A 25,654-nucleotide genomic window follows, 5' to 3' on the forward strand; every position below is an offset into this window, starting at 1 on the left:
GTACAGGTCTGCAGCCCAGGGGCTGGGGACCCCTGGTTTAGGGGAACAAGAAGGTCAGCCTGGAGGGAGCACAGAGGATTTGTTTTCAAAACTAGGCATTGGATGAGGTGGAGGAGGCCCTGTTCAGGGGCCGTGGTTCTACCTGAGGCAGACCCTTCTAAAACACTCCCTACACACACGTCTCCTGAGCTGCCAGACCTAAGGTCCTATACCGATTCTCCCTGTTTGGGCCCAGAGACTGTACCAAGCAGGCGGCCTGCTCCCTGGGATAATTCTGGTAATAGACAACATTTATCAAAATGCCTTTCTTTTTTTTCTCCAAAAATTAGCCAGGTGTGCATCTGTAGTCCCAGCTACTCAGGAGGCTGAGGTGAGTTGGGAGGATCGCTTGAGCCCAGGAGGTTGAGGCTGCAATGAGCCATGATCATGCCACTGCACTCCAGCCTGGGAGATAGAGCAAAACTCTCAAAAAAAAAAAAAAAAAAAAAAAGCTTTTTTTTTTTTTTTTTTTTTTTTGCTGGTGGTGGTTGTTTGTGTTTGTTTTTAAACCAAGTCACCACTACCCACTTCCTGAGACAAATCATGGAGTAGAGTCTACTCATATCAGATTTCTAAGAAATACAGTTGAGAAAGTGAGATAATAACCACTAAGAAGGACGTAAAGCATTCTTTTGATCCTTCTGTGTAATTTGGGGTGTTTCTATACAACTACATTATCTACTAAAGGTAAAAAAAAAAAGGGAGAGGAACATTTTTCTAAACCCTAAAACAAAAACAACTTTACCTGATTATTCAAGTAGACTGTAATATTTTCTCGGGGGTAATTGCCAATTTCCTTCTTTTTGACAGCATGATGATGACCCTAAAATTTTCTAGAGTGGGGAGAATAAAATGGGATTTTCCCCCCAAAATCCAACATTTCAGACTCTTTCACACAAACTGCCATCCTGGCTGCGAGCCCATAGAGAATTTCCAAGTACTGTAAGGCCCTGGGCTTGATAAAGAAAAATTTACAGATGCTTTGTGGCCAAAGGCTGCCTCCAGCAGCAAGTCTGTTTCCAAATAAAGCAAGCTGCAAACCCACTCTCCCACTGCCTTGGGCAAGAGAGCAGACGGCAGCCCCCAGGTGGTACAGCAGGAAGGCTGTGAGGGTGGATTCCACACGAGGAGCAAATGGTAACAAGTGGGTGAGACCCTCACCCATGTCACTATCACAGCCACTCTAGACAGAGGACTCACGTATTATCCTCATTGAACAAACGAGGAAACCATGGCTCCCTACGCGGCCCAGCTGCGAGTGGACTCAAACCCAGGTCTGCCCGACCCACAGCCTGCTCTTGACCTCTGATCATCTGGTTAAGAATTAATCAGATAAATAAGGCAGCAACATAGGGAAAAGCCCAGGAAGTGAAGGCGAAGTTATGTGATTTGAAGCTAGAGATGAAAAACAGGAAGATCGGGGGGGATTAAGGCAACAGGACGCTGGTGTGCACATGAGTCCCCTGGAGAGGCGGGAAACACGCAGGTCCCGTCTAGCCAATGGAATGGGGTGAGCCTCTGCCTCTCTCAGGCTCCCACGTGAGTCCACTCCATGGTCCTCAGACCACACTAGCAAGAGCCTGGGGGAGGGAGGGAAAGGTTTCTGGAAGAGTTGGGTCTTAAATTATTTGGGGACAAGGAATAGAGAAGCTGACAGCCCAAGCCATGGGTTTTAGCATTTTCTCTGGAGGCACAAATCCCTTTAAGAATCACATAAAAAATATAGACCCTTGCCTCAGAGGAAGGCATGCGCAGGTGATACTGTGAACAGTTTCAAGGGCTCTCAACTCCCAGAAGCACATCCACATGGGATTAGGAGGCCCTAAGTGTTAATATGACAGAGAAGCACAAAAATGGGCCCCTCTTAGAACAGGCAGAAATATACAGTTCCAAAATATATAAGAGCTCCTACAATTCAATAACAAGAAATCTAATAGCCCAATCTTTTTTTTTTTAATTGGAGATGGAGTCTCACTGTGTTGCCCAGTCTGGTCTTGAGCTCCTGGGCTCAAGCGATCCCCCAACTTTGGCCCCCAAAGTGCTAGGATAACCCAATCTTTAAACGGGTTAAAGACTTTAATAGACATTTCTCGGCCGGGGGCGGTGGCTCATGCCTGTAATCCTAGCACAGGATTGAGAGGCCGAGGTGGGGGAATCACCTGAGGTCAGGAGTTCAAGACCAGCCTGGCCAACATGGTGAAACCCCGTCTCTACTAAAATACAAAAATTAGCCGGGCATGATGGCAGATGCCTGTAATCCCAGCTACTCAGGAGGCTGAGACAGGAGAATCGCTTGAACCTGGGAGACAGTGGTTGCAGTGAGCCAAGATCACACCAGTGGACTCCAGCCTGGGTGTCTGAGCAAGACTCCATCTCAAAAAAAAAAAAAAAAAAAAAAAAAAAAGACATTTCTCCAAAGACACACAAATGGCCAACATGTATTTGAAAAGATGCTCAGTGTCACTAACCATCAGGGAAATGCAAATCAAAATCATGATGAGGTATCATCTCATACCTATTAGGATGGCTATTATCACAAAAAAACGAGTGTTGATGAGGATGTGGAGAGATTGGAACTCTTGTATACTGTTGGTGGGAATGCAAAGTGGTGCAACCACTGTGGAAAACACTTCGGAGATTGCTCAAAACATTTAAAATAGAGCCGCCATATGATTCAGCAATTCCACTTCTGGGTATTTATCAAAAATCATTGAAATCAAGTTCTTGCCAGGTGTGGTGGCTCACGCCTGTAATCCCAGCACTTTGGGAGGCCAAGGCAGGTGAAATACTTGAGGCCAGGAGTTCAAGAACAGCCTGGCCAACATGGCAAAACCCCATCTCTACTAAAAATACAAAAAATTAGATGGGCATGGTGGCGGGCGCCTGTAATCCCAGCTACTCGGGAGGCTAAGGCAGGAGAATCACTTGACCCCAGGAGGTGGAGGTTGCAGTCCATTGCACTCCAGCCTAGGCGACAGAGTGAGACTCCATCTCAAAAAAAAAAAAAAATAGAGATGATCAAGGTCTTGAAGAGATATTGGCACTTCCTTTTTTATTGCAGCATTATTCACAATAGCCAAGATGTGGAAATGACCTAAGTGTCCATCGATGGATTCGTGGATAAAGAAAATGTAATATAAATACACAATGGAATACTATTCAGCCTTAAAAAAAAGAGTAAAATCCTGTCATTTGTGACAACACGGATGAACCTACAGCACATTGTGCTAAATGAAATAAGCCAGGCACGGATTGACAAATACTGCAGGATTCCAGTTATATAGGTATCTAAGTCAACTTTGCAGAATTAGAGAGCCAAATGGTGGTTGTCAGGGGCTGGAGTGAGGGGGTAATGAGTTGCTGGTCAATGTGCGTAAAGTCTCAATTATGCAAGATAAATAAGTTCCAGAAATCTTCTGTGCAACACTGTCCCTATGGTTAACAATACTGTATTGTATACTTAAAAGTTTAAGAGGGGCCGGGTGCGATGGCTCACTCCTGTAATCCCAGCACTTTGGGAGGCCGAGGAGGGCAAGATTCACTTGAGGCCAGGAGTTCAAGACCAGCCTGGCCAACATGGCGAAACCCAGTCTTTACTAAAAATACAAAAATTAGCCGATGTGGTGGCACATGCCTGTAATCCCAGCTACTTGGGAGATTGAGGCACGGGAATCGCTTGAACCCAGGAAGCGGAGGTTGCAGCGAGCTGAGATTGTGCCACTGCATTCCAGCCTGGGCAACAGAGCAAGACTCTTGCCTCCAAAAAAAAAAAAAAAAAAAAAGTTTAAAGATGAAAACAGGGGCCAGGTGCAGTGGCTCATGTCTGTAATCCTAGCACTTTTGGGAGGTCTCAGGAGTTTGAGACCAGCCTGGGCAACATAGCAAAACCCCATCTCTACTAAAAAAATACAAAGATTAGCCAGCCGTAGTGGTGGGCGCCTGTAATCCCAGCTAATCAGGAGGCCGAGGCCTGAGAATCGCTTGAATCCAGGAGGTGGAGGTTGCAGTGAGCCGAGATTGCGCCATTGCACTCCAGTCTGGATGACAGAGTGAGACTTTGTCTCAAAAAAAAAAAAAAAAAAAAAAAGAATGAAAACAGGAGATAGAAACATGAGTGATCAACTAGTCCAGTTCTCTCTCACAAATGCACCTTAGAAGATGCCAGAAACCCGCTCATGGCACCCAGAGGGTGGTGGTGCTGGGCCTTCAGTCCAGTTTGTCTGAGGCCCAAGCCCCAACCTCATCACTCTCCTCAATCAAGAGGCCTGAAGATAGAGATGAAAAGCCATCCACAAACCCCAATCTTCACCACACACAATAGGTTGCATCTCTTCATCCTTTTGTCTTGGAAAGAAGTTTACAATTCGGAAAGTGTTGGACACCCTGGTATGAACCCCCATTCCAGCCAGGAGGGGAGGGCACAGCACCTGCATGGTTAGGGACAAGTTCAAGGCATCAGAGCTCCTCCAGCCTCTTGCCAGATGCCCTCACATCCTCGCCTTCTCAGAGGGTAACTCAGGACTCTCCCAGCAGCCTTGACAACTCCTACTACTGCCACCACTCCGAGGCTACTGGGTTCGAGTCCATCCCTACCCCGCATGGCCAGAACCCTGGCCTTTCTCTATGCTGCCGGCCTGACGCCAGTTGGCAGCAGGAAGAACAAGCCAAGCAGATCCACTGCAGACCACCGAGTTCATTTCATGAAAACTCAGCACACAAGAAGTCAAGTCCAACTGCAGTTACAGATCCTCTGTTTTTAAAAAGGGTTCTTCCTAGGACTCCACTAAAAAGACCTGCTTTCCCAGATCTAAAGTATGGCCTGGCATGCAGGCCAAGTGCTCAGGATACAGGGAGGGCACGTTTGTTGAGCGGGCAACTGCCTGCCGAGGTCCTTGGCCACATAAGCACACCTGTCCACCGAGCGGTGCAGAAGCTGCCTGTGTCGCCTCCTCCTGAACCACCTCCTTGCTATGTTCCCGACACCTGACCGGCCCTGAGCCTGATGGCTCACGATAAAATACTGATAGGATTAATAGTCAGCCTTGTTGATCAGCTCCCAGAATGGGGAGGGTGCCTGGCTAGCTTTGATCTCTAAGTCCATTGGCCCCACGTGGACATTCCAGGTCTATGAAACCATCTGCTGAACGGCTTTCATGTCGGAGACACCTGTTGAAACTCCTGGGAGGGCCTCCTCTCATCCCCTGGTCCCCTGCACCTACCTGGCCGGACTGGAGACAATCTGCCCAGGAGGAAGAGGCTGAATGGAGGTGTTACAGGGAAGAGGACCCCCAAAGGAGATGTCATCTACAGCCTGCTCCAAGGCAAGAAAAGCCTCAGCCAGTAGCCAGGTGATTTGAATAAATGGCTTTACAAAACCTCCAGGTGGGTCCAGATCAGGTCAGGGCTCAAGGTCAGAGACGGGCTTGGGCAAGGTAGGAAATCAAGCACAGATGTCTACACACAAAAGGGCCCCTCGGCCCTGTTCCCACCCTGGGGATTCAAAGACGAGGCCAGTGTTTTGAAAAATATAAAATTTTAATAAAGGCTACATCTCTTAATTACAATAATTATTGTACCAAGTAATTTTCCTTAAATGAACTCTTTATAATGCATAATTTACAGTATAAGTAGAACAAAATGTCATGACAAAAGTCATTGAGTACAAGACTTGTAATAAAAAGGCATAAAATATATTTATACATAAACCCCTTTCAAAAAACAAGGGAAAGCTTGAGCCCTCAATATAGGGCGACACACGGAGCGGGTGACCGTGCAGGTACAGGTACTGTACTGATTTAAAGTCAAGCACTAGAGATAGTGGATTAATACTCTTTTGCCGTACACTATATACAGATGTATAGTACAAGTAACAATGGCAAACAGAATGTACAGATTAACTTAACACAAAAACCCGAACATCAAAATGAAGGTGTGTGGAGGAAAGGTGCTGCTGGGTCTCCCTACAACTGTTCATTTCTTTGTGGGGCAGGGGGTAGTTCCTGAATGGCTGTGGTCCAATGACTAATGTAAAACAAAAACAGAAACAAAAAAAACAAGGAACTGTCATTTCCACGAAAGCACAGCGGCAGTGATTCTAGCAGGCCTCAGGGCCCTGGGCCTGGGGAGGCTACATGAGGGGGAGCCTCAGTCACAGGATCAACCTGGGGCCCGAAGGAGCAGGGTTCCCTGCCTCTCCCTCTGCAACAGATCATCCCATCCAACACAACCCCCAAAATGTTGATGATGACGCAACATGGTCAACCCTCAAGACCTTTAAGACAAAACAGAGCAGCATAGGAAAAAAAAAAACAAAACGCACCAATTTCTGCATGTGTCAATGGTAGGGCACCATTTTAAAAAGTCTGTCTAAAACAGTCTGTCTTCACTTGGAGGGACGTAGTGCAAAGCATAATTCCTCTGTTAGTGAAGAAACCATGAACGCACTCCTAGCTCAACTCCTAAGTTTAGTCAGAACAATTAAAACTTCCTGTCTCCCCCTTCCAAGTTTAAAGCAGCATATCCATAAACTGGGGATGGGGGAAATCAACTGTTCTATAAATATCAGTAAGGATTCCTGTTCAGGTAAGCTATACACAGTTTCTCTTAGTTTATGGATTTCAGATCCCTAGGAAGTCATATATTATGTATGGCAGTCTCTCAAATACAGGCAGCATCTTCAATAGCCAAGAGTGGTCATGTTTTTAATAAATAGTTCAGGCTTTTCTTATCTCAGTCAGTACCCAGCTCATGAATCATGAAAATCAACCTCCCCCCGCCCTCCCGAAGGCCCACTGGCCGATTCTTCCTTAGACTTTGTCTTCTTCATTGGTTTAATTTTCCTTCAAAATGTTTTGTCGCAGTTGCTCACAGCCAAGACAGTTCACAAGAGCTTCGGGCTCCAACAGTTCACCAAAGCCAGACCCCAGGGCTCAATCGATCCGCTCCACTTTGCCCAGAATCCGGCCTTCATACATCGGGAGCACCGTCTCATCCTCCCAGATCTCCTCAAACACCGCTCCACAGGCAAACTCATCGCTTGCTTTTTTGAAGTAATACCTTAAAAGGAAAACCAAAAAAGCTTCTTGGTAAACTGCATTTTCCACATTGTTGAAAAGAAAAGCATACCAACATGGAGGACTGAGGTATCCTAGGAATTTGCTATGGCAGGTGTGCCTGTACACTGTTGCGCACATCTGCTTTAAGACGGCAGCTGGGACTGGCCACACCACAAGAAGCAGGTGGGCCGAGATGATGAAGGCCAGGCACCCACTGAGCAGCAGCCTGGGCTGGGCCTGCCACCTGCAATCTTCAACCCAGCACCTCTGCTGTCTCCTGACACGTATACACTGTGAAAAGCAGAGCTGCTTTCCCCCCGCCAACCTTTTTCAGCAGTGGGGTGGGGGAGGGAAGGGAAGGACAAATGCCTGCAGTTCCTTTGCAGCAGGAGCCAAGCAGGTCCTTCAAAGAGACTCCAGACTATCTCCAGGTTCAGCCATCCTGAACCCATCACACCTGGAGAGCCGGAACCTGCCGAAGTCTGTAAAAGGCTGACTTCCAGATGGTTTAGCAGTCCAAAGGCCTCTCGGCCTTCCCATCCTCCAGGTCCCAAGTGCAACACTCCTGGATGGCCCTGGCACAGCCACACAGGAGGCAAGCCAGCCCAGCGCAGCTTCCCAGGGCCGAACAGACGGCACTGGCCCCATGATGCCCTCCCCTCTTCTCCCCATTTCCAGGCCTCTTCTCCCATCCCATCCCTCCAGGGTCAAACACCAAAGGCCCTTCTATTATGCCCGTTGATTAAAGGCTCCTTTCATCCCTCCCCAGCGTTCTTTCTTCTGAGGCTGTTTAATTGTACAGATGCAAATGCCTGGCCTCTCAGGAGTGCCACATTCGGAAACAACTGCTGTCCTCTTGGGCCAGGCCCACCCCTAAACCCCTTCCGAGGAAATTAAGCAAGGGCCTCTTCCTTCCCTGTCCCCAGCCAAGGGAGACCCCTCAGAGGGATTAAACTTGCCCCTGCAAGCTGTCATTTCCAGCCCATAAAGGCCACTCACAGAGGGAAGGTCACAGTCCCCTGGGGGGATGGGAGAACCTTTCAAGCATTTAATTGTGTCTCAGGGTTATGGTTGGGCTTTGTCTTTTCCCTTTAAAAAAAAAAAAATTAACTCCCCTTGGTTAGAGCTCAATTTTTTCCCTCTTTAATAAAGGCAAGCCAAATACTTTCGTAGGAGATAAGGCTAAATACAGTGAACAGCTGGGTTTAGTCAAGGTTCTTTGTTTTTAGCATTCCTGACCCAGCTAATGCAGTGGGGTGAACAACGGCATGGCTCTGACTAGGCAGCACTGAAGACACGTCATGTCAAGGGGTCAAAATTCTCGGGGGAGCGTGAGAGGAGACAGTGAGAAAATGGGGAGGGGCTCTGTGCACAGGAGACTCAGGACAGTGGGGGGAAAAGTCACTTCTCCACATAAGAGGCTCAAATCCCAACGCCACCCTCCGTCAGACCCCTTTGGCCCCAGCTCCGACCCCTCCAGGGTTTACCAAGTTGGGCTTTCACAGCATGTCTGAGCAAACACGCAGCGACCTTTTACATAATTGCAACCTCCTCCAGAGAGGAGAGAGGCCACATTCTCTCAGCCCCACCCCCAGGACTTCAAACACACTGCACTGCCCTCATTTTCTCCAAGAAACAGGCTTTTCCACTGCAACATGCTTCATGTGGCAAACTTTGCTTTCTTCTGACATCTGGCACCAACAGCGTCTGGCGCGTCTGAAGGGACTGTTTGCTTTTTGAACCCCTGCCATGTTGAGATTACTCAACGCATCCCAGGTCCCCCCCACCTCCCACCCCTGCTCCACGGCCCCAACCTCACTGGGTCTTTTTTATTTTTTTGAAGGGGGGATGTATTTGTACAAATTGAGATGTTGAAGCACCAGCCCTGCTGGGAGGGTGAGGCGTGACACCCTGTGTCCCTGTCCTACCCCAGGAGGACACTGAGTCTAGCTCAGGCCCTGCAGAGATAAGGCAGCTGGGAGGGCCTTCCCACAGCCTGATCCACTCAGGAAAGAACTGGAGAGGATCGGAGAGTTGACCATTTGTGCAAGTCTTTGTGCATTAAAGGGGAGGCCAGGGCTTCAAAGCCAGGCTTATTAACTGTGCCTCAGGGAGAAAAAAAAAAAATCAGAGCCAGATGTGGCCACAGCAGCTGAAGGAGGCACTTTCCCCACAAGCCTATGCCAGCGCCACATGGCTCTTCTCCAAGGTCACCTGCAGTTCCACTCGAAGTCCAGCCGAGACAAAGCCAAGATCAAAATGAATCCCCAGAGGGACACACTTGTGTCATTAGTTTCACCTTGTGTCTTTTCAAGATAAAAGCAGCAGCAGCAGCAGCCAGGCCTGTTCCCCCACCCCTTTGATACCTTTTCACAATTGTCTCTGCCCAGGTATAAAAGGGACTATCCAGACCCAGCAACACGCCCTGCTGGCCAGTTACCTCCAGGGGCTCAGTCCAACCTCCATCCCCTCCCCACTCCAAAGAGAATCACTTTGAGCCCCCGCCCAAACTAACTCCCAGATGAAGGTGGCTGGTAAAACTATACAAGGCCTGCTCTAGAGGGGAGGGTGTCTCAGAGCCCTGCAGGTGGACTCATCCCCGTCCAGGAGCCCATGCCCACCTGGCAGGTTACCAAGTGCTATTCAGAGTTTTCCACTCACACCCCTGGCCCTGGTGGCGGCAACGGGTTCACACCTGGGAATAGACTGTGGTCCTGGCACAGGGACAACAGCACACAGCTGAGGAGTTGGAACTCTGTCTTGGGTGTAGACCCCAGAGTGAGCACCTCCTTAAACTAGGGTGCCCCTGTCTCACCCTTGTCCCAGCCTGGAGCCCTAAACCTGGGAAACCTGGGACAGAACTGGAGCAGAATCCACACATTCTCTTGGGCTGCAGGCCATGGAGAGGGGCAAGGGAGGACTCCAGATGAACTGAGGCAGAGTCATCACCTGCTCCTTACGAGGGAAATGATCAAGAGAAGGAATGGCCTAGGGCTGGCCCTCATCCTCCTCAGCTCTTGAACCCTCTCAAGGGCCCTAAAAAGTCAGCATGGACCTTCTCAAGGGCACCTCCGTCCACTCTGCAGACAAGGTAAGGAGACCAGGAAGTTCCCTTCCTGAAGCCCCTGCAGGGGAGAAGGCAGCGGGGCCCAGGCCTGGACAGGAGGAGTAGACTGCCCTATTCACCCTGTGCCCACCCGCAGGTCCAGCCCCTTCTTTGTTATGGACAAAGGCGCATCTCTGCTTCTAATGGCCCATAAAATCCAGGGAGGCTGTTCAGGTGGAAAGGCAGGGTAAGAAAAACACGGGGGACTTTTCCTAGGCATGGTTCCTGACTATTTGGAGCCTTCAATGTGGGGGTCTCTCCTAAACTCAAGCCAGTAGGGCGGCGCTTCCAGACCCTCCCTCCTAATCAGTGTGCCTGTCCCTCTTTTTGCTCCCTGCTCCCCACTCGCCCACAAGCCCCTCAATTGCAGGTAAAGCCTCTGCAGTGTGGCCTGAGCCCCACTCTCCTGTCGGTGCAAGCAGCTGCTCCTTTTCTCTCCTCAGTCTGGTTCACCTGGTGGAAAGAGCCTGGCCAGGTCCCCCAGAGAACCCTCCACGCAGCCTCCCTCTTGCGGCTGCTGCTTCGTTATTGCTGCTAGCGGTGAGGGGAGAGAAGAAATGAGAAGGGAGCCTCCCCCAGCGCCTGCTGAGCCCCCTCCCACCCTGCCCCACCTAGGTCTGCTCAGCCAGGGGAGCTGCTCCAGGCTCTGGCTCTTGGTTCTGAGCAAACAAACTGAGAGCAGAAAAAAGCCACAGGACTCTTACCTATAATTTCCCTTTTTGCTGAGCTGCTCTTTAAAGTGGCCCAGGGTCAAGCTCTGAGCCTTCAGCATCCTCCGGTATGGAATTTCTTCCCCACAGAAAAAGTAAGTGACAACCAACTCACTGGCCTGGAGCGCGTGGACACCTGCCAGTTTCTTTGGCTCTTTGTGACTGAAAATAAGATGGAATGGAACAAGTTTAGCATTTTAAAGCAGACACACATCTAAAGCAAACACACACGTGCGCACATGTGCATAAGTGACAGGGTATCCAAACACTAGGGCTGCAATTGTAAACCCAAAGTGGGGGCTGGGGCAGAGCCCCACATCCCAGAGTCAGGCAGCTCTGGGGGACACACAGTCCAACCCCACATGTGCTGCATGCAGCATGCAGAAAAGGATGATTTCCTTTTGGTTGTACAAATTGGTATCATTTCCCCCACCGCCACCAAATGAAAGTATACGGCGGCCTCTTTCAGGCTGGCATAAATGGGGTGCTTCCTCAAGAAGATGAGAGAAGAGAAATTATCACAGAGATGCCGGGTCTCACCTGGATTGGAGAGTGCTAAAGAGACAAACCCAGAGCAGGACACCTTTGGGATGGCATGATCTCAGAATGCCTAAAGCCCACCCCTTATTCCAGCAGAATGAGAACAACTAATGGGGGTTATCACACAGTCATGTCCATTTCCCCATTTCTTCTGAGATTTTGTAGAATGGCTTGAAAAAAAGGCTGCTAGGCCGGGCGTGGTGGCTCACGCCTGTAATCCCAGCACTTTGGGAGGCCGAGGTGGGCGGATCACTTGAGGTCAGGAGTTTGAGACCAGCTTGGCCAACATGGCGAAACCCTGTCTCTACTAACAATACAAAAAAGGAGCTGGGTGTGGTGGTGGGCGCCTGCAATCCCAGCTACTCGGGAGGCTGAGGCAGGAGAACTGCCTGAACCCAGGAGGCGGAGGCTGCAGTGGGCCAAGATTAAGCCACTGCACTCCAGCCTGGGCAACAGGGCGAGACTCTGTCTCAAAAAGAAAAAAAAAAGTGGCTGGCCCAGACCCAGAGAGCTGGTACACTTAGGGTCAACCAATTGAAACAATGAAAGGGTCCAGGGCAGTGGCCTATTGAGGACTTCAAACATTGCTCATTGCTCAGGATGAAGACACTAAGAAAGAAAACTTGATACAGACCATTTTAGATCTCTTTAGCAGATTTCTTTTTAATTGCACCATCCAGTAATTAAACGAGCAGGCTCCTCAACCTACTTTGAAAGAGACTAAATTTACAAAAAGAATCACTGCCCAATTTGGGGGAAGATATTCTGTCTTCTCCAAACAAAAACACAAGGATGGTCCCCTCCACCTCTGCCACAGTGGAGAATGATCTTTCTGCTCAGGGGTGACAAATGTTTCCAGTACTACTAAATTGCAAGTTGAATGGGGGCAACTTTTCCAGCTGAATTTGAGGTCCCTTCTACACTTCTGCTAATGGCTTCATGTCCCAGCTTTTGATTTGTGTATGACCAGAAAAACTTTTGCTATGATGCATTTGTCGGCAGGACATGGATGGCAACATCTACGTTTACTGTTCCTCATCACTAGCGCTAAAATCAAAGTGATTTTAAAAACCAAAAAAAGTTTCATGAAAATGAAACTCCAGATAGCGAATATTCTGAAACATAAAGCACTCGGCAGATCTCAGTAATGTCAGGTAAAGACACTCACTCTTCTGGAGCCAGGCTTGGATTGGAGAAGGGTGTGGCTCCCGTCTGAACAGTGGCCGAATGATTCCTGTCCCTCTGCTGACTGGCCACACAGCACCTGAGGACACAGCCAGGGCGAGGGATTTAGAGGTACACTGTTGTCCCCAGAGCAATTGAAAAGCAGACAGAAAATTACTATTTGGCCTCCTGAAGAGACACGAACCCGACTTCCATCCTTACGGAGACCCAACCAAGACCCTGGGTTAACAGTGGCTGAAGAGGCCAGGAAGACGTCTTGGAACAGCCATTCTAAGCCCCCCTGGGAGCCCAGGATGGGACATTCTCAGCCCCAGCAAAGGGCTGAGGACTCTTGATCCTCCATCTCACAGCTTCTTATATACTCAACTAACCAGCCTTAAACAATCAAGACATTTGTAAGGAATGGGATTTGTAAGCAATTGCTGAAATTCATTCTCCCAATTCTAGGCATGACTTGCCTCACAGATCCTGGCTTAACTCTAGTAGAATGAACATAACTGAAGGGAACAATTTCTAGAAGCTGGAAAGCAGCAGCTTACTCATCCATAAGTAATTCTTCTTCTCATGGGAGGGTTTGAGACCCAGGCAGAAAGAGAGGCCCTCCCCATTAGCCACAGACCAGGTCTCCACCCAAACCCAATCCCTGCCTCAACCTAGGACCCTTCACTTCCACTCACCGCTGCTTTGGGGGCTTCGACACCTCAGCTAGCCTGCGACAGGCCTCCTCCAGCTGAGCCAGCGTGTTGGGTGGGGTCAGGGGAGGCATCGCAGGGTCCTGGGTGAACAGGTGGGCACGGGGGGTGGTGCGGGGGTGCCCGCTGTTGCCCCCCCACAGATGGTGCCGGCTGGCTCGTTCGCCTGGAGACGAGCGGGCAGACTCCAAGGGGTAGGCCTTTTTTGTGCTTTGGGCACTAAACAAGGAATGAGCAGAGAGAAAACAGAAGGAAAGAAACTGGGTTAGAAGAACTGGAAAATGTGACTTCAATAGAAACTTGTCTATTCTGCTCAGAGAGAGAGTTAAAAAAAAAACTACCATAACATGAACAGGGGTCAGTGCCAAAACATGACATTTTTGTGGTCTGCTCAGTCCAACGTTTAATATTAAGATGGCAGGAGCAAATAGTCACATTTGTATTCCGCGGACTGCAAAAACAGCCATTCCCACAATACCTCCGTACTGAGTGCCCATGACCCTCGCGGCCGCGGCGGCGGCAAGCGGTGTTTACCTATGGGGCTTGGGCTTGCTCTGCCGCTCACTCTCCAGCATCCACTGCCAGACATCCTGCGACCTGTCTCCTTCCTCCCGGGGAAGCTGCAGGGCCCCAGCTCCGCCGGGGGCCCCTCCTTCCCTGGCGGGCAGGGCCAGGCCCGGCTCCGTGCCTTTCCCATTGCGTTTGGGCAAGGTACTGCCTCTGCTGCCGCTGTGGGGAACCAAGAACCACACCCAACCCAGAGACCCGGTTAAATCTCCGGGACTCCTAGAATCAGACAATTCAGCAAGTCGGGGGGCTGGTGACACGAAAGACCCATGCACCTGCTCCCCGCACCCTCACCCGGCCGTGCACTCTGCCGCCCTCTTAGAAACTAAATGCCTGTAATGCGGCTCCCACCTCACACCTGCCCATGGACCTGGCTGGGAGACAAGCCCCACACGGGACACTGCGGTCCGCCCGGCACTTACCCAAACTGCTCGCTGGGCATGGTTTCCGGAGCCTTGGAGTGGCTTTTGCATTTCGAGTAGCAGTAATACTCGCTGCCCCCAGGGCAGAAGCAGTGCACCCGCTGCGTGGCCTCCGCCTCGATCTCCTCCTTGGTCTTGGGGACGGCATGGTGGTGGATGTAGTGGTGGTGGACATGCTTCGTCGTCTGCTTGGTCACAAAGCCTTTGCCCCCGAGGAGGGGGCAGGCGCCCGGCGAGGCGGCCGCGGGAGGCAGCTTGCCACCGGGCGGGAGCAGGGAGTGGTACTGCGAATGGTGGTGGTGGTGGTGGTCCGGGGAGCGGGAGCGGGGGCTATAGCGGCCTACGCCTGGAGACTGGCAGCCAGGGGTCTTGAGGACCCTGGACAGGTGATCGTCCAGTATCGTCTGCGGGTCTTCCTCGTAGCTGCCGGAGGGCAGTAGGGAGAGGGGGTGCTGCGTGGGCGCCCCCTCCCGCGAATTGAGTGTGAGCTCGGAGCCCTCTCTCTCTTCATCCTGAAAGGGAAGACGTCAGAAGGAGAAGTGACCCAGGAAGCAGAAGGGCCAGAGGCCCTGGGGTTGCAACATTCGGCTCCCTACGCAGGAGCACGCACACCCGTGTGCACGCCCACAGCCACGCCCATGCGCACACGCACAGGCCCGCCTACACAAGCACATATCCACACGCATATGCACACCCACACGCAACCCATGCACATGCGCACACAGCCCACGCCCAGGCACACACCCACACGCAGCCCACGCGCATGCGCATGCAACCCACGCACATGCGCACACCCTAACGCACCCCATGCACATGCGCATACACATACGAGCGCTCACGCCGTGGACGGAAGCAGGAAGAAGGCCTAGGCCGCATTACCTCTCGGATCTGCTGCAGGCGCTCCTCCAGGCTGTGGCGGCTCTCCAACTCCAGCTTCAGCTTTTCCAGCCTCGAGATCAGCTCAGCTGCAAAGGTGGCGGGTTCCACGGGGGTCATCTCCTTGGGCAGGCGGTGGGTTCTCTACAGGACGTGGAAAGGAAAGGGAGGAGGCACGTTCAGCAGGCTAGGTGGGCGGTGGCTTGGCCGGAGCTTCCCGCACCAGGCGCTGTGCACCGCAAACCCATGTTCGGGTGTAGAGTGGATGGCAAGGCGGCCTGGGCTGCTCGGGACTTTTATGCGCTAGCGCCATGGCCTCATGGAGAGCCATGGTCCCCACCAGCGTTTGCCTTGGGCAGGAGCAGTTGGTCGCACTCCGAGAGGCCCTGCTTGTTCTTTCTGTAGTACAACCAGCCCATCAGTAGTTACTTTGAAGTAGAAAATCTTCAAAGACTGTTGTCAACCATCAAAAAAAAAAAAAAAAAAAAAAAAAAAAAAAAAAAAAAGGCAGCCCTCTGAGGTGGGGAGGGGAGAGACCAACTCAAGGAATAGAAAGTAGAATCTAAACAGAAAGAGAGTTGAAAATTTAAAAAAATAAGATTGGAAAGGAGGTGGGAGGAAAGAAAGTGGGGGAAAAGGGAGTCAAACGGCCTGGATCAGAGAAGAAGTGGTAATTTATTTCCTGGCCGCACACTGCGCACCTTTGAGGTGGTGGTGTCTCAACACTGTCCTCGATCTCCCTCGTTTTTCTCCTTCCCTCCTCCCTCTCTCTTTGTACAGAAAATGAAGAAAGCTGCTGCAGGCTAGTAGCAGAACACTGCTGAGCTTGGCTGCCTGAAGCTGATCTATCAAGGGAAAAGGGAACATCTCCAAATCAAGTGCAGAATATAAAAAGGCACCGAGTACGCCTGCCAAAAGCAGCAAACAGAGAGAACCCCTGCTGCCCAGCTTTCTGTCCTTTTCCTGTCATCTCGCTCCCCCCACCCAACCCCCCACCTCTCCAGTTGTTCTACCTCCTTCTTCCTAATCTCCCTCTTGCTTAGCTCCTTTCTTTGGGCTGGGGTGGGGGTAGCAGAAAGCTAACTTGCAAAGGCTAGCATCTCCCCCAGCTGAAAAGATGGGCCTTGCCACGGCAACCACTTAGCTGCAGAAACTGGGGAAGAAGAGAAAGGCTCCTGTGTAGGTGGCCATTCTCACACAGGCTGGCTCCTTGCAGCCCCTGATCAAAGCGCTGCCTGATGGAGAAAGTCGATTTGCACACCCCAGGACAAAATCATCTAATTTACAAGCTTGGGCGATAGAACTTTTCTTTGTTAACTCACATATCCCCCAGTCAAAAAAACAATGATAGTATGTCATCAATACTTGTTATCTGTAGAGGGAGGGGATGCTAGAGGTCCTCAGAAAAGCAATTTTAATATGCTAATTTTAAAACAAGGTAAGTCTGCCCTTGTCTGTGTGAGGAGCTTTCAGAGAAGAGCTATAGTTTGTGCACTAATGCAACATGGGTTTAGCAATTCAATGTGTTAATTTTTTAAACACAACATAACCAGACCAATTAGATTCTCTGAAGCTGGCAGGAAGGATTCATAAACACCTGCTGTGAGCTGGGTGCTTTCTTCCCCTCCCCTCCTTGCAACCTGGATCTGAGGCTGTTGTAAACAGCACAGCCCTAAAATGGGAATGTAGATGGGGAAGTTCTCTTGAGTACAGCCATGTGCTGGCTGCTTTAGCAAGCATGGAAATAAAAGCAGAGGTCCCAGAAGAGCCCTTCATCCACCATCTCAGTCACAGGAAGAAGCTGCTCAGGAGATCCTCACTTCTAAACACTTCGTTCATTCCGCATTTGATAGGCACAGACTCACCAGCAGGTACCAAGCCAAGTTCTGGAGTTGGAAAGGAACAGCTACCCTCCAGGGCTTCAGGAGCCAGGAGGAGAAATGGTCAATGAATACATAAATAAATGACTAAAATCACTGACTAAAATGACTTGGAGTCCTGTGGTTGACACAAGAAGTAGAATGTCCCAGTGAAGAGAGCAGGAGGATGTCCCAAGGGGGGGCAGAGGTTCCTTATTCATTCACTCAAATGTTTATTGAGCACCTATTATGTGTCAGGTACTGTTCTAGTCTCTGTGCATACAGAGGTTAACAGAATAGATAAAACTCCCTCCCATCAGAGGGCTTCCATTCTAGTGGAAATACAGTGAGCTCACCAAGCTGTAGAGAAGCATGGATCATCTAGCATTTCTTAGTTTCTGGGAAATAAGTGCTTCAGTTTCTTTCTGATAGGGAATTTTTTTTTTGAATTCAGAAAATGCAAAGGTTCAAAAATAGGTCATCAAACCTCTCACATAGTTGGGATGCTTGTCCCCTCCAAATCTCATGTTGAAATATGATCCCCAATGGTGGAAGTGCACCTAGTGGGAGGTGTTTCGTGCCCTCCCTGCAGTAATGAGCAAGTTTTCCCTGTAGTTCATATGAGATCTGGTTGTTTGAAAGAACATGGCATTGCCCACCACCCCCCCAACCTCAGCTTGCTGTTTCTCCCGCTATGTTACAAACTGGCTCTCCTTCCCCTTGCGCATCATGATTGAAAGCTCCCTGAGACCTTCACCAGAAGCAGATGTTGGCGCCATGGTTCTTGAATAGCCTGCAGATCCATGAACCAAATAAACCTCTTTTCTTTGTTTTTTCTTTTGAGAAGGAGTCTCGCTCTGTCGCCCAGGCTGGAGTGCACTGGCGTTAGCTCACTACAACCTCCACCTCCCAGGTTCAAGTGATTCCCCTGCCTCAGGCTCCCAAGTAGCTGGGACTACAGGCGCACGTCACCACGCTAGGCTAATTTTTGTATTTTTAGTAGTGGTGGGGCTTCACCATGTTGGCCAGGCTGGGTCTCGAACTCCTGACCTCAGGTGATCTGCCCACCTCCGACTCCCAAAGTGCTGAGATTACAGGCATGAGCCACTGTGCCCAGCCGTAAACCTCTTCTTTTTATAAATTACTCAACCTCAGGTATTCCTTTATAGCAAAACTGACTGATACCTCATAATCACATCACTGTGCTCACCATCACAACCCAAAAAACCATGTAATGCCTATTGTCCAGTTCTTTTCTCTCCCTTTGCCCTAGGGGACCTTAGGTACTGCTCTTTTCTACCTTCCCTATACCTCTCCCCATTCCACCACCCATTTCTTTTCTTTAGGACTCAACATGGCAGAAAACAGCTGTCTCCTCACTCCAGACTGTACTCACCGGGAAATGAGGTAGAGACACTTGGCCATTGGCCTTCACACTGCGATGCATTTCTCTCTGGAGCTGTTTCTTACTGCCCACACGATAAGGAGGAATTCCATCTCTAAGGGAAAGGAAAAGACAGAATCCACAGGCTTACGAGGATGTTTTCAGCACATCACATGGGCTACTGTCATATGCCATCTTGAGATCCCGCCGACAGGGCCACATGCTTCCATAGGAGTGTCACATGTCTCCAGATACCATCGGTGCTCCCACAGGGAAGGACCCACCCAAGGTCAAATTTAAATCCTGCCCATCAATCATCTATGGAAACTTGGCTTCCTTGGATGCAGAAGCATCAACTTGGAAAGAGCCTGGAAAGTTAATCTCTCGGACTGTTGTCTTAGAACTGGGTTACACTCCAGCCAGCCCAGGCAGAGCAAAGGCTCCCCTATTTTACAGGTGCCCTAAGTAGGAGATTCTCAGGCCCCACTGGTCCTCCCACTTGTTCCCACTGCTTCAAACCAGGAACCAGTGCCTTATGGATAGGGCCAGGGCAGAAAGTTGTAGGGATAAGAACCAAACCTACAGAGGGCTAAATCAGGCATTAGTGAAGCATGCATAACTCTCCAAGTCAACCTCCTAGTCATTTCCAAATGTATTTCTTTTTATAAACCAGTACAGCGTGATTAATAAAAAGAATATATAACATTTAGGCCCCTTCTCTCAGCTCCAAACCCTACCACCCCCAACCAATGAATTTTCAAAGACACATGACCAATGTGGGCATGAAGAGAAAAGCCCCTACTATGTGGTGGTCTGTGCAATCCATTTAAAGATTAGCACCTACTATGTGCCAGATCTTCTCCTAGGCACTAGGCAAGAGAGCAGTAGACAAAGTGGATACATAATTCAAACAACTGCCCTCTTGAAGTTTACATTCTAATGGGGAGGCACAGGCAATGAACAAAATAAAAAATAGTATGTTAGTGATATGTACTATGAATAAATACACAGCAGGAAAAGGAGAATCACTGGTGAGTGGGTAAGCTGCAAATTTAAATTGGATGTGGGTGTCAAGTCCTCATTGAGAAAGGGACCTTTGGGCAAAGACCTGAAGAAGTATGGGCCCCTATCCATTATATTTTTAAAAACAAAACATTAACAAGTAGAAGAATTTTTAAAAAGCTGCCACTCCAGCTAGTGTTCACTACAACTATGACCTAGAGTTGCCATGATTTTTTCCAGAAAGAATTTCCTTCTTAAAAGCAGAATGGTCAAGGTGTGACTATTTTCCCATTGATGTCCCTTCAGGAGGCCACTTATTTACAAAAGCCTCAGGGTGCAAACATTTTCATAATGAATCATACTTGGAGGCTGTAAATATTGAAATTGGGTGTTTGGCTACTTCCCTTTCCCCAATGTCTGGTTCATCATAGGGTGGAAGAAAAATAGGATAATTAGCAATGTCTAAAAATACCCAGGGGGCAAGCCAGGAGTAACTAGTCAACCTCTAGCTCCTTATCTGAAATGCCCTAGAATTCTAAATAGCTGCATTTTCAGGAAGTCTACTGACCTAGGTCAGAAAACAGGAACACAAGGGACAATGAAGATTCCAATAGATCAACAAACCAATGTATGTTAACCAAACCCTGGCTAAGGAGTGCATAAACGATAATTGCACTGAGGTGAGTAGGGAAGGGAGAGAAGAGAGATCAGTATCCAGAGCAACAACTTACCCCCAAGTGTGAGTACTGCCCCAAAGAAAGGTAAGTATGGAGCAGAGACAGAGCACTGTGGGAAGGATTCGCAGCAGCTGGCTGACCAGTGCTGGAGAAACACGTCTTCTACTCATGACTGAGAAACAGCCTCCTACTCATGAGGCTCGGCACCTGACCAAGCCCACCTAAAGATTATTTATCAAAACTCTGTGTCTTCACCTTGGGTAGCTGAAAACGGGACTTATAAGCATGCCTGGCTTGACCAGAAACCAAATCGCACCCAAGGCAACTGATGCCAACCTGAGAATGCCAGCTCATAGATACCGAGTCCCTACTGTACGTCAGACATTGGACCTATAATCAGACTTCATTCTCATAAGAACCTTAATGAGCCACATTTTACAGATGACCAGAAATGCTCAATAGCTCACCTAGTGTTACAGTCAGTAGCAGATTGACAACTCATACCCAAGCCACTGCTGGACTCCAGAACAGGCATCTGTAACAACCTACACTTGGTCATTTCAATAAGATGCCCTTCCCAGCCCCAATCAGCAGTCAAGCTTCCTGATGGTCTTAATGTGGAGATGCCATTTCCTAAGCCCCACGCAGTCACCTGACATTGATAAGGCATGAGGGGGAAATTTGTGGAATTTTCTGGGAAGTCCTCCCCAACCACCTAGTACTCACTAGCTATGGGGCTCGCCAGGTGGTTCCCAAGCCATGCTGAATATCCCCATCTCTCACCTAAGATACCTTGTATGGTAGGGGTGGCGGTATCCCACAGATTGGGCTCATGCTGGTCTAACCAAATTCTGCTGCCCTAGGGCTGTAAGACAATGTCTATCCTCCATCTCTCTTCTAGGGACTTAGACAGTGGATGACTCTGCTTCAGCCCTGTTCCTGACAGTCTTGGGGGCAGGAGTCAAGCACTCCATGGACCCCACCATGACACAAGTGACATAAGGCTTCAAGAGTCCTAGAAGAGTCCCCCGTCCACCCCCTCCAAGACTCTTGACATTTCCACTGGTAGCTTTCACTCTTCCTTCTCCCAGATGAAAGTCAGTGGTAGAGCTTTTATGCCTCTTTTTCTTCTTCCATATAATAAGGTTAAAAAAAAAAAACAGGATGGGGGTAGGGATGGGGAGGGGAGTAGATAACTGCAATATTGAAGGCAAAAGGAACAAATGATTTCATAAGCACCTCATACCCCGCCCCCCATCCCCCACCACCACCACCACACACACTCCATTACCCAGGGCAGGTGAAGGACTAAACTGCTGGAAAGGCAACTTGTAACCAGAGCAGAAAAGGAAGATGTCAGCCTGTAGAGGCTCAGAAAGGCTTAACAGGCACCTTCAAGGAAATGTGGCTTTAATTCCCTCCAGCCAAGAATCTTCTTCCAAAACAGCCCCTCATTCCAAAAGGGGGCCTCTCTTCTTTTATTCAAGCTCTAAAAGTCTGTGATCAGTTTCCTGGCTGCTCAAGCCTGTGGGCTGGAGAGCACCAGAGTTGTGGTCCCTATACGGTCTCCTTTAATTATAAACATTTTAGTTAACGAGCCTGCTGCCGGGCCCAGCTGTTTCTGGGGAGCATGGTTTTGAAGTGTGGACTCCACTTAGCTGCCATTTGAGCCGAGCCAATTAGCTTAGCCTTTTGACTCCACCGTGCCCGACCTAACCTGAATGTCATTTTCTGGCGACTTTGAAATAGCAGACTCATGCACACATGCGTCCACTCGCATCTTCATTTGGCAACCACTCTGAAGGCAGCCTCTGATCACAGCCAACATCAAAAGCCTGGTTTGTAGGAAAAGGTTAGTATTTGAAGTTCACTCAGATGCATTTCCTGGTGTCCAAAGTAAACCCCCATAAATAAGATATAAAGAAATACAAATAAATAACTCGCGACATTCCCTGTGTGAAACACCAAAAAATCATCTTGTGCTGATTTGGGGACACTCAGAGCTGAAGCAACATACAAACGTAGCTGATCCTGATTACAAGAGCAACTCCTAGCAGAAAGAAGAGACAAAGGCCTCCACACCACTGACTTAGCTTTCATGATTCCTGGCAACATCTAACCATGGCTACACTTGGGCGGCAAAGAGTCTGCTGCTTCTGACATTTTCACCCTCTTTACTCCATCCTTCTAAGCCTGATGCCCTGGAATGGCCCACAAGCCTTCTGCCTCCAGTGCTGCAAGGATTTTGGTGGGAGTCTGGCAGTTAACGTTAAAAAAATTTTTTTTGGCAGGTTGTGGTGGCTCACGCCTGTAATCCCACCACTTTAGGAGGCCGAGGTGGGTGGGTCACGAAGTCAAGAGATCGAGACCATCCTGGCCAACATGGTGAAGCCCCGTCTCAACTAAAAATAGAAAAATTAGCTGGGCGTGGTGGTGCACGCCTGTAGTCCCAGCTACCCAGGAGGCGGAGGTTCCAGTGAGCCAAGATCGCGCCACTGCACTCCAGCCTGGCAACAGAGTGAGACTCTGTCTCAAAAAAAAATTAAGCCATTTCTTCCGAGAATGCAGGTTTCAGAGTAACAGGCTCATAAAACAGCCTTCTCAGAGGCCCAAATGCCCAGCCATCTTTAACAGGACTTTTTACTTAGCAGGAAAACAGAAGTCAGCAGTAGGCTTTGGGAGAAGGCAATGATTTCTTTAAAGCCCCTGCCTGCTCTGCACACTCAGGCCCCGGCATGTGGCTCCCTGGAATAACCAACCAAGTGCAGGCCAGCACTGCCCCAACTTCTACCCAGGCCTCTTGCAAAGGCCCCCAGGACTTAATTGGTTCTGTCGCAAATGAGACGATTGCTTTCCTGGGTTTGTGTCTAATGAACTCCAACCTTCTGGAGTCTATTGAAGGCTGCCTGTGACCCCCTCTCTCCCTCTCCCCCCCTCCCCAGCCCTGTTCCCTCCCCAGCTCCCAGCAGGGCAGCCAGCCCCCCTCCCCAGCCCCTCACAGCCCGCACTGGCCATTGTGACGGGAGAAACAGCCAGGGCTCTTTTCATGCTTTATGGGGCGCTCCTATTCACTTGTTCAAGGAAATTTCAAAGGGGCCTGCTACCCTCTTATCCCCTCTAAGCTTCCCGGGATGAACAATGGGCTGAAAGCGATTCAGTTCAGCTTTTCATCCCCCACACACTTTATTTCTCGCCCGGCGCTCTCATCTGCACGAGGCCTACAATTGGCAGAGTTCTGAAGAGGAGGTCTGATCCCAGCCCTGGGAATCCCGGGTGACCGCCCGGTGCTGGGCAGGATCACACACACCCAGGGCCAGTCGGCCAGAGAACACATTGCATCGCCAAGTCTGCTTGCAGCAGAGTGGGGAGGGCCCCAGAGACCCCCATGCCTGGCACCCAATGGCAGCTTGAGTCAGTGCCAACAAGTCTGGAGACCCTTCTGATGTTTTCTAGTGAGCCCCACTAGAGGCAGCATGAGACAATGCCCAAGAGACAGTGACCCCACATGGATGCCAAATGCACTCCTAATTAGTATAAATGCCCAGGTGGGCACAACTGTGACAGTTAATCTGATAACCTGCGCACTTGATTGGGAGAGGGCACAGAGCCACTCAACACCACCAGGACGAACAGAGCCAACACCATGAGCCCACGGGTCTCTAGGCCTTGCAGCACTTCCTCCTGGCTTCCTGGTTTATTCACTATCCATCCAAGGCAGCTTTGCCACAGGATAGGCTTATTAATACTCACAGGTTCTGCCACCAGGAACCCAAAGGTATCTACTGTGCCCCAAAGAGAAAGCCGCTACATGAGGGACTTGACCTGTTCTGTCTCTGTATCCAAGTGGACCTCACTGAACTACACACTAACCCTTGCCACCTAGAATAGGGACTGGCAAAGGTAACCTTTCTGATCCCTGAAAAGTGGCTCCCCCATGCTTGGAATCCAAAGTGCTTCAGCTAAAGGGGGAAGGGTGAAAGCTTTAAAGTCACCTCTAAATAAAAGAAAGTTTTTCTTCTGGGAAGGGGATAAAAGAAGAGGAAGTAAATGGGGAGGCTGCAGGGGAGAACTTAGAACCTGCTCCCTTCTACCCCTCCCAGAACCAGTCTTTCTAAAAAGCAGTCTTGATTACTAAGAAATATAAATAAAAGAAACCCAAAGTGGCTCAAAGGTCTCATGACCAACCGGTCCTATTCACAGATCTCATGTTGAGAACGCTCATGCCTGGGGGAAGGGCAAAGCGGGCAAAGTACAGGGCCTGTGTCTGGCCTGGACCTGAAGTCTGTCTCAGAGGTGCATGGCTGTGGAAGCACCAGGCCTTATTTCCTCATCTGTAAAGTCCCAAGTATCTGCCTGCCTGCCTTCCTGATTGGGTCTTGGGAGGATCAAACAGAAATAAGTATGGGACTACACCCAAGTTATCTCATCATGAACCCAGAATAACACCTCAATGATGGGGACTGACATGCAGCCAAGGACCAGGAAGCAAGCCAAAAATAGTCTCTAAGAAAACTAAACAGAAGTCTTATCGTCTGACGTAAACTGCATTTGACTTAGGAGATTCACTCAATGCCTTCAATCAATTTCAACTTACTCTTATTTTACACATAATGCTAAGATTCCCACACAATCCACAAAGTAATATATGCTACAGGAGGAATGCTTGCTAGAAGCAAGCACACAGACAGCAAAACACAACAGCAGGGAGAATGAAAAGAGAAAAGAGAAACTTTTCAAAGGGGAAAGGGTCAGATAACCCTATGCACCCTCATTGCCTATGAGAGAAATACCACAACAAAGTACACAAACAGATCTTGATATTATTTGGATAACTGAGAGATAAATTATGCCCTGTCTAATACTATGCAATAATGACAGAGCAAAATGTATTCTAAGAAATATGTCCACCAAAAAATTATCAAAGCACAATTTTTTCAAGTATGGATACCGAAATTTCAGTCAATATGGAAAACTCACTTCTGTGAAACTTCTCATATCTCCATATTGGATGAAAGATGTGTACTTTCCTGTTTCCATATTGGATGAAAGACGTGTACTAATGCCAAAATGCTATTTTTATTAAAATTCAAACTTTCACCTTGAGGATATCTCTCCCTGTACTAACAAGGGAATTTGAGGTAACACAATAAAAGCCACCAGCAAAATAAATAGTAGGTTCCCAAACTCACCTCATCAACTTTCCCTCCAACTGGTCCCATGCCACAGGCCAGGCAACAGGACATTGGCCAGTAAAAACCAGATAGTTTCAAACAAACTGGAATAATAGATGGTCCAGTTTTAGGAAGCTAAAAGGAACAAACTCTAAATAAGTGTGCCAGAACTTACACGGTTCAATGGGTTTGCCTTTCAAAATTGTTCCTTTAGCAGGCGAAATTCTGACTCCAAAACATTGAAAAGCTTTCAAGACCATTTCTGGAACAATGAATCTCAACCGGGTGTTGGGTGAGAAGCCTTTGGGGAATTTTACCCATCCCCTATCCCCAGGCTCCACTCTGGGTCTCCTGAACCAAAACCTCAAA

The 25,654-nt window shown here is 49.2% G+C and overlaps 1 protein-coding gene across 12 annotated transcripts in view, besides 6 other annotated features; it reads right to left on the reverse strand.

Moving 5' to 3' along the window:
- Positions 807-1,307: an enhancer, noted in NCBI's record as "H3K4me1 hESC enhancer chr17:63519932-63520432 (GRCh37/hg19 assembly coordinates)". NCBI's record gives its function as "activates a minimal SCP1, AML or CMV promoter by ChIP-STARR-seq in primed H9 embryonic stem cells {active_cell/tissue: H9 hESC(primed)}" and the evidence as "EXISTENCE:reporter gene assay evidence [ECO:0000049][PMID:30033119]".
- Positions 4,904-5,198: an enhancer, noted in NCBI's record as "tiled region #3713; HepG2 Activating DNase matched - State 14:Gen5'". NCBI's record gives its function as "activates a minimal TATA promoter and a strong SV40 promoter by Sharpr-MPRA in HepG2 cells {active_cell/tissue: HepG2}" and the evidence as "EXISTENCE:reporter gene assay evidence [ECO:0000049][PMID:27701403]".
- AXIN2 (axin 2) overlaps positions 5,556-25,654 on the reverse strand; it is a 33,086-nt gene continuing 12,987 nt past the window's right edge. For 6 of the 12 annotated variants that reach the window (XM_047436870.1, NM_004655.4, XM_011525319.3 and 3 more), the window contains exons 4-11: positions 18,448-18,550; positions 15,196-15,336; positions 14,317-14,828; positions 13,862-14,056; positions 13,313-13,546; positions 12,619-12,714; positions 10,905-11,072; positions 5,556-7,095 (exon numbers count right to left, since the gene is read on the reverse strand). In XM_047436870.1, the coding sequence (XP_047292826.1) occupies positions 6,969-7,095; positions 10,905-11,072; positions 12,619-12,714; positions 13,313-13,546; positions 13,862-14,056; positions 14,317-14,828; positions 15,196-15,336; positions 18,448-18,550 (1,576 nt within the window). In that variant the 3' untranslated portion in view covers positions 5,556-6,968. The remainder of the gene's footprint in view (positions 7,096-10,904; positions 11,073-12,618; positions 12,715-13,312; positions 13,547-13,861; positions 14,057-14,316; positions 14,829-15,195; positions 15,337-18,447; positions 18,551-25,654) is intronic. The other 6 variants (XM_047436872.1, NM_001363813.1, XM_047436873.1 and 3 more) reach the window with 1 other exon arrangement.
- Positions 7,021-7,535: an enhancer, noted in NCBI's record as "H3K27ac-H3K4me1 hESC enhancer chr17:63526146-63526660 (GRCh37/hg19 assembly coordinates)". NCBI's record gives its function as "activates a minimal SCP1, AML or CMV promoter by ChIP-STARR-seq in naive H9 embryonic stem cells {active_cell/tissue: H9 hESC(naive)}" and the evidence as "EXISTENCE:reporter gene assay evidence [ECO:0000049][PMID:30033119]".
- Positions 7,536-8,048: an enhancer, noted in NCBI's record as "NANOG-H3K27ac-H3K4me1 hESC enhancer chr17:63526661-63527173 (GRCh37/hg19 assembly coordinates)". NCBI's record gives its function as "activates a minimal SCP1, AML or CMV promoter by ChIP-STARR-seq in naive H9 embryonic stem cells {active_cell/tissue: H9 hESC(naive)}" and the evidence as "EXISTENCE:reporter gene assay evidence [ECO:0000049][PMID:30033119]".
- Positions 8,563-9,075: an enhancer, noted in NCBI's record as "H3K4me1 hESC enhancer chr17:63527688-63528200 (GRCh37/hg19 assembly coordinates)". NCBI's record gives its function as "activates a minimal SCP1, AML or CMV promoter by ChIP-STARR-seq in primed H9 embryonic stem cells {active_cell/tissue: H9 hESC(primed)}" and the evidence as "EXISTENCE:reporter gene assay evidence [ECO:0000049][PMID:30033119]".
- Positions 19,650-19,850: a silencer, noted in NCBI's record as "peak2942 fragment used in MPRA reporter construct". NCBI's record gives its function as "represses an SCP1 promoter by STARR-seq MPRAs in K562 erythroleukemia cells {active_cell/tissue: K562}" and the evidence as "EXISTENCE:reporter gene assay evidence [ECO:0000049][PMID:32103011]".

The sequence above is a fragment of the Homo sapiens genome, chromosome 17 (assembly GCF_000001405.40).
Source record: "Homo sapiens chromosome 17, GRCh38.p14 Primary Assembly".
In the NCBI taxonomy this organism is placed as follows: Eukaryota; Metazoa; Chordata; class Mammalia; order Primates; family Hominidae; genus Homo; species Homo sapiens.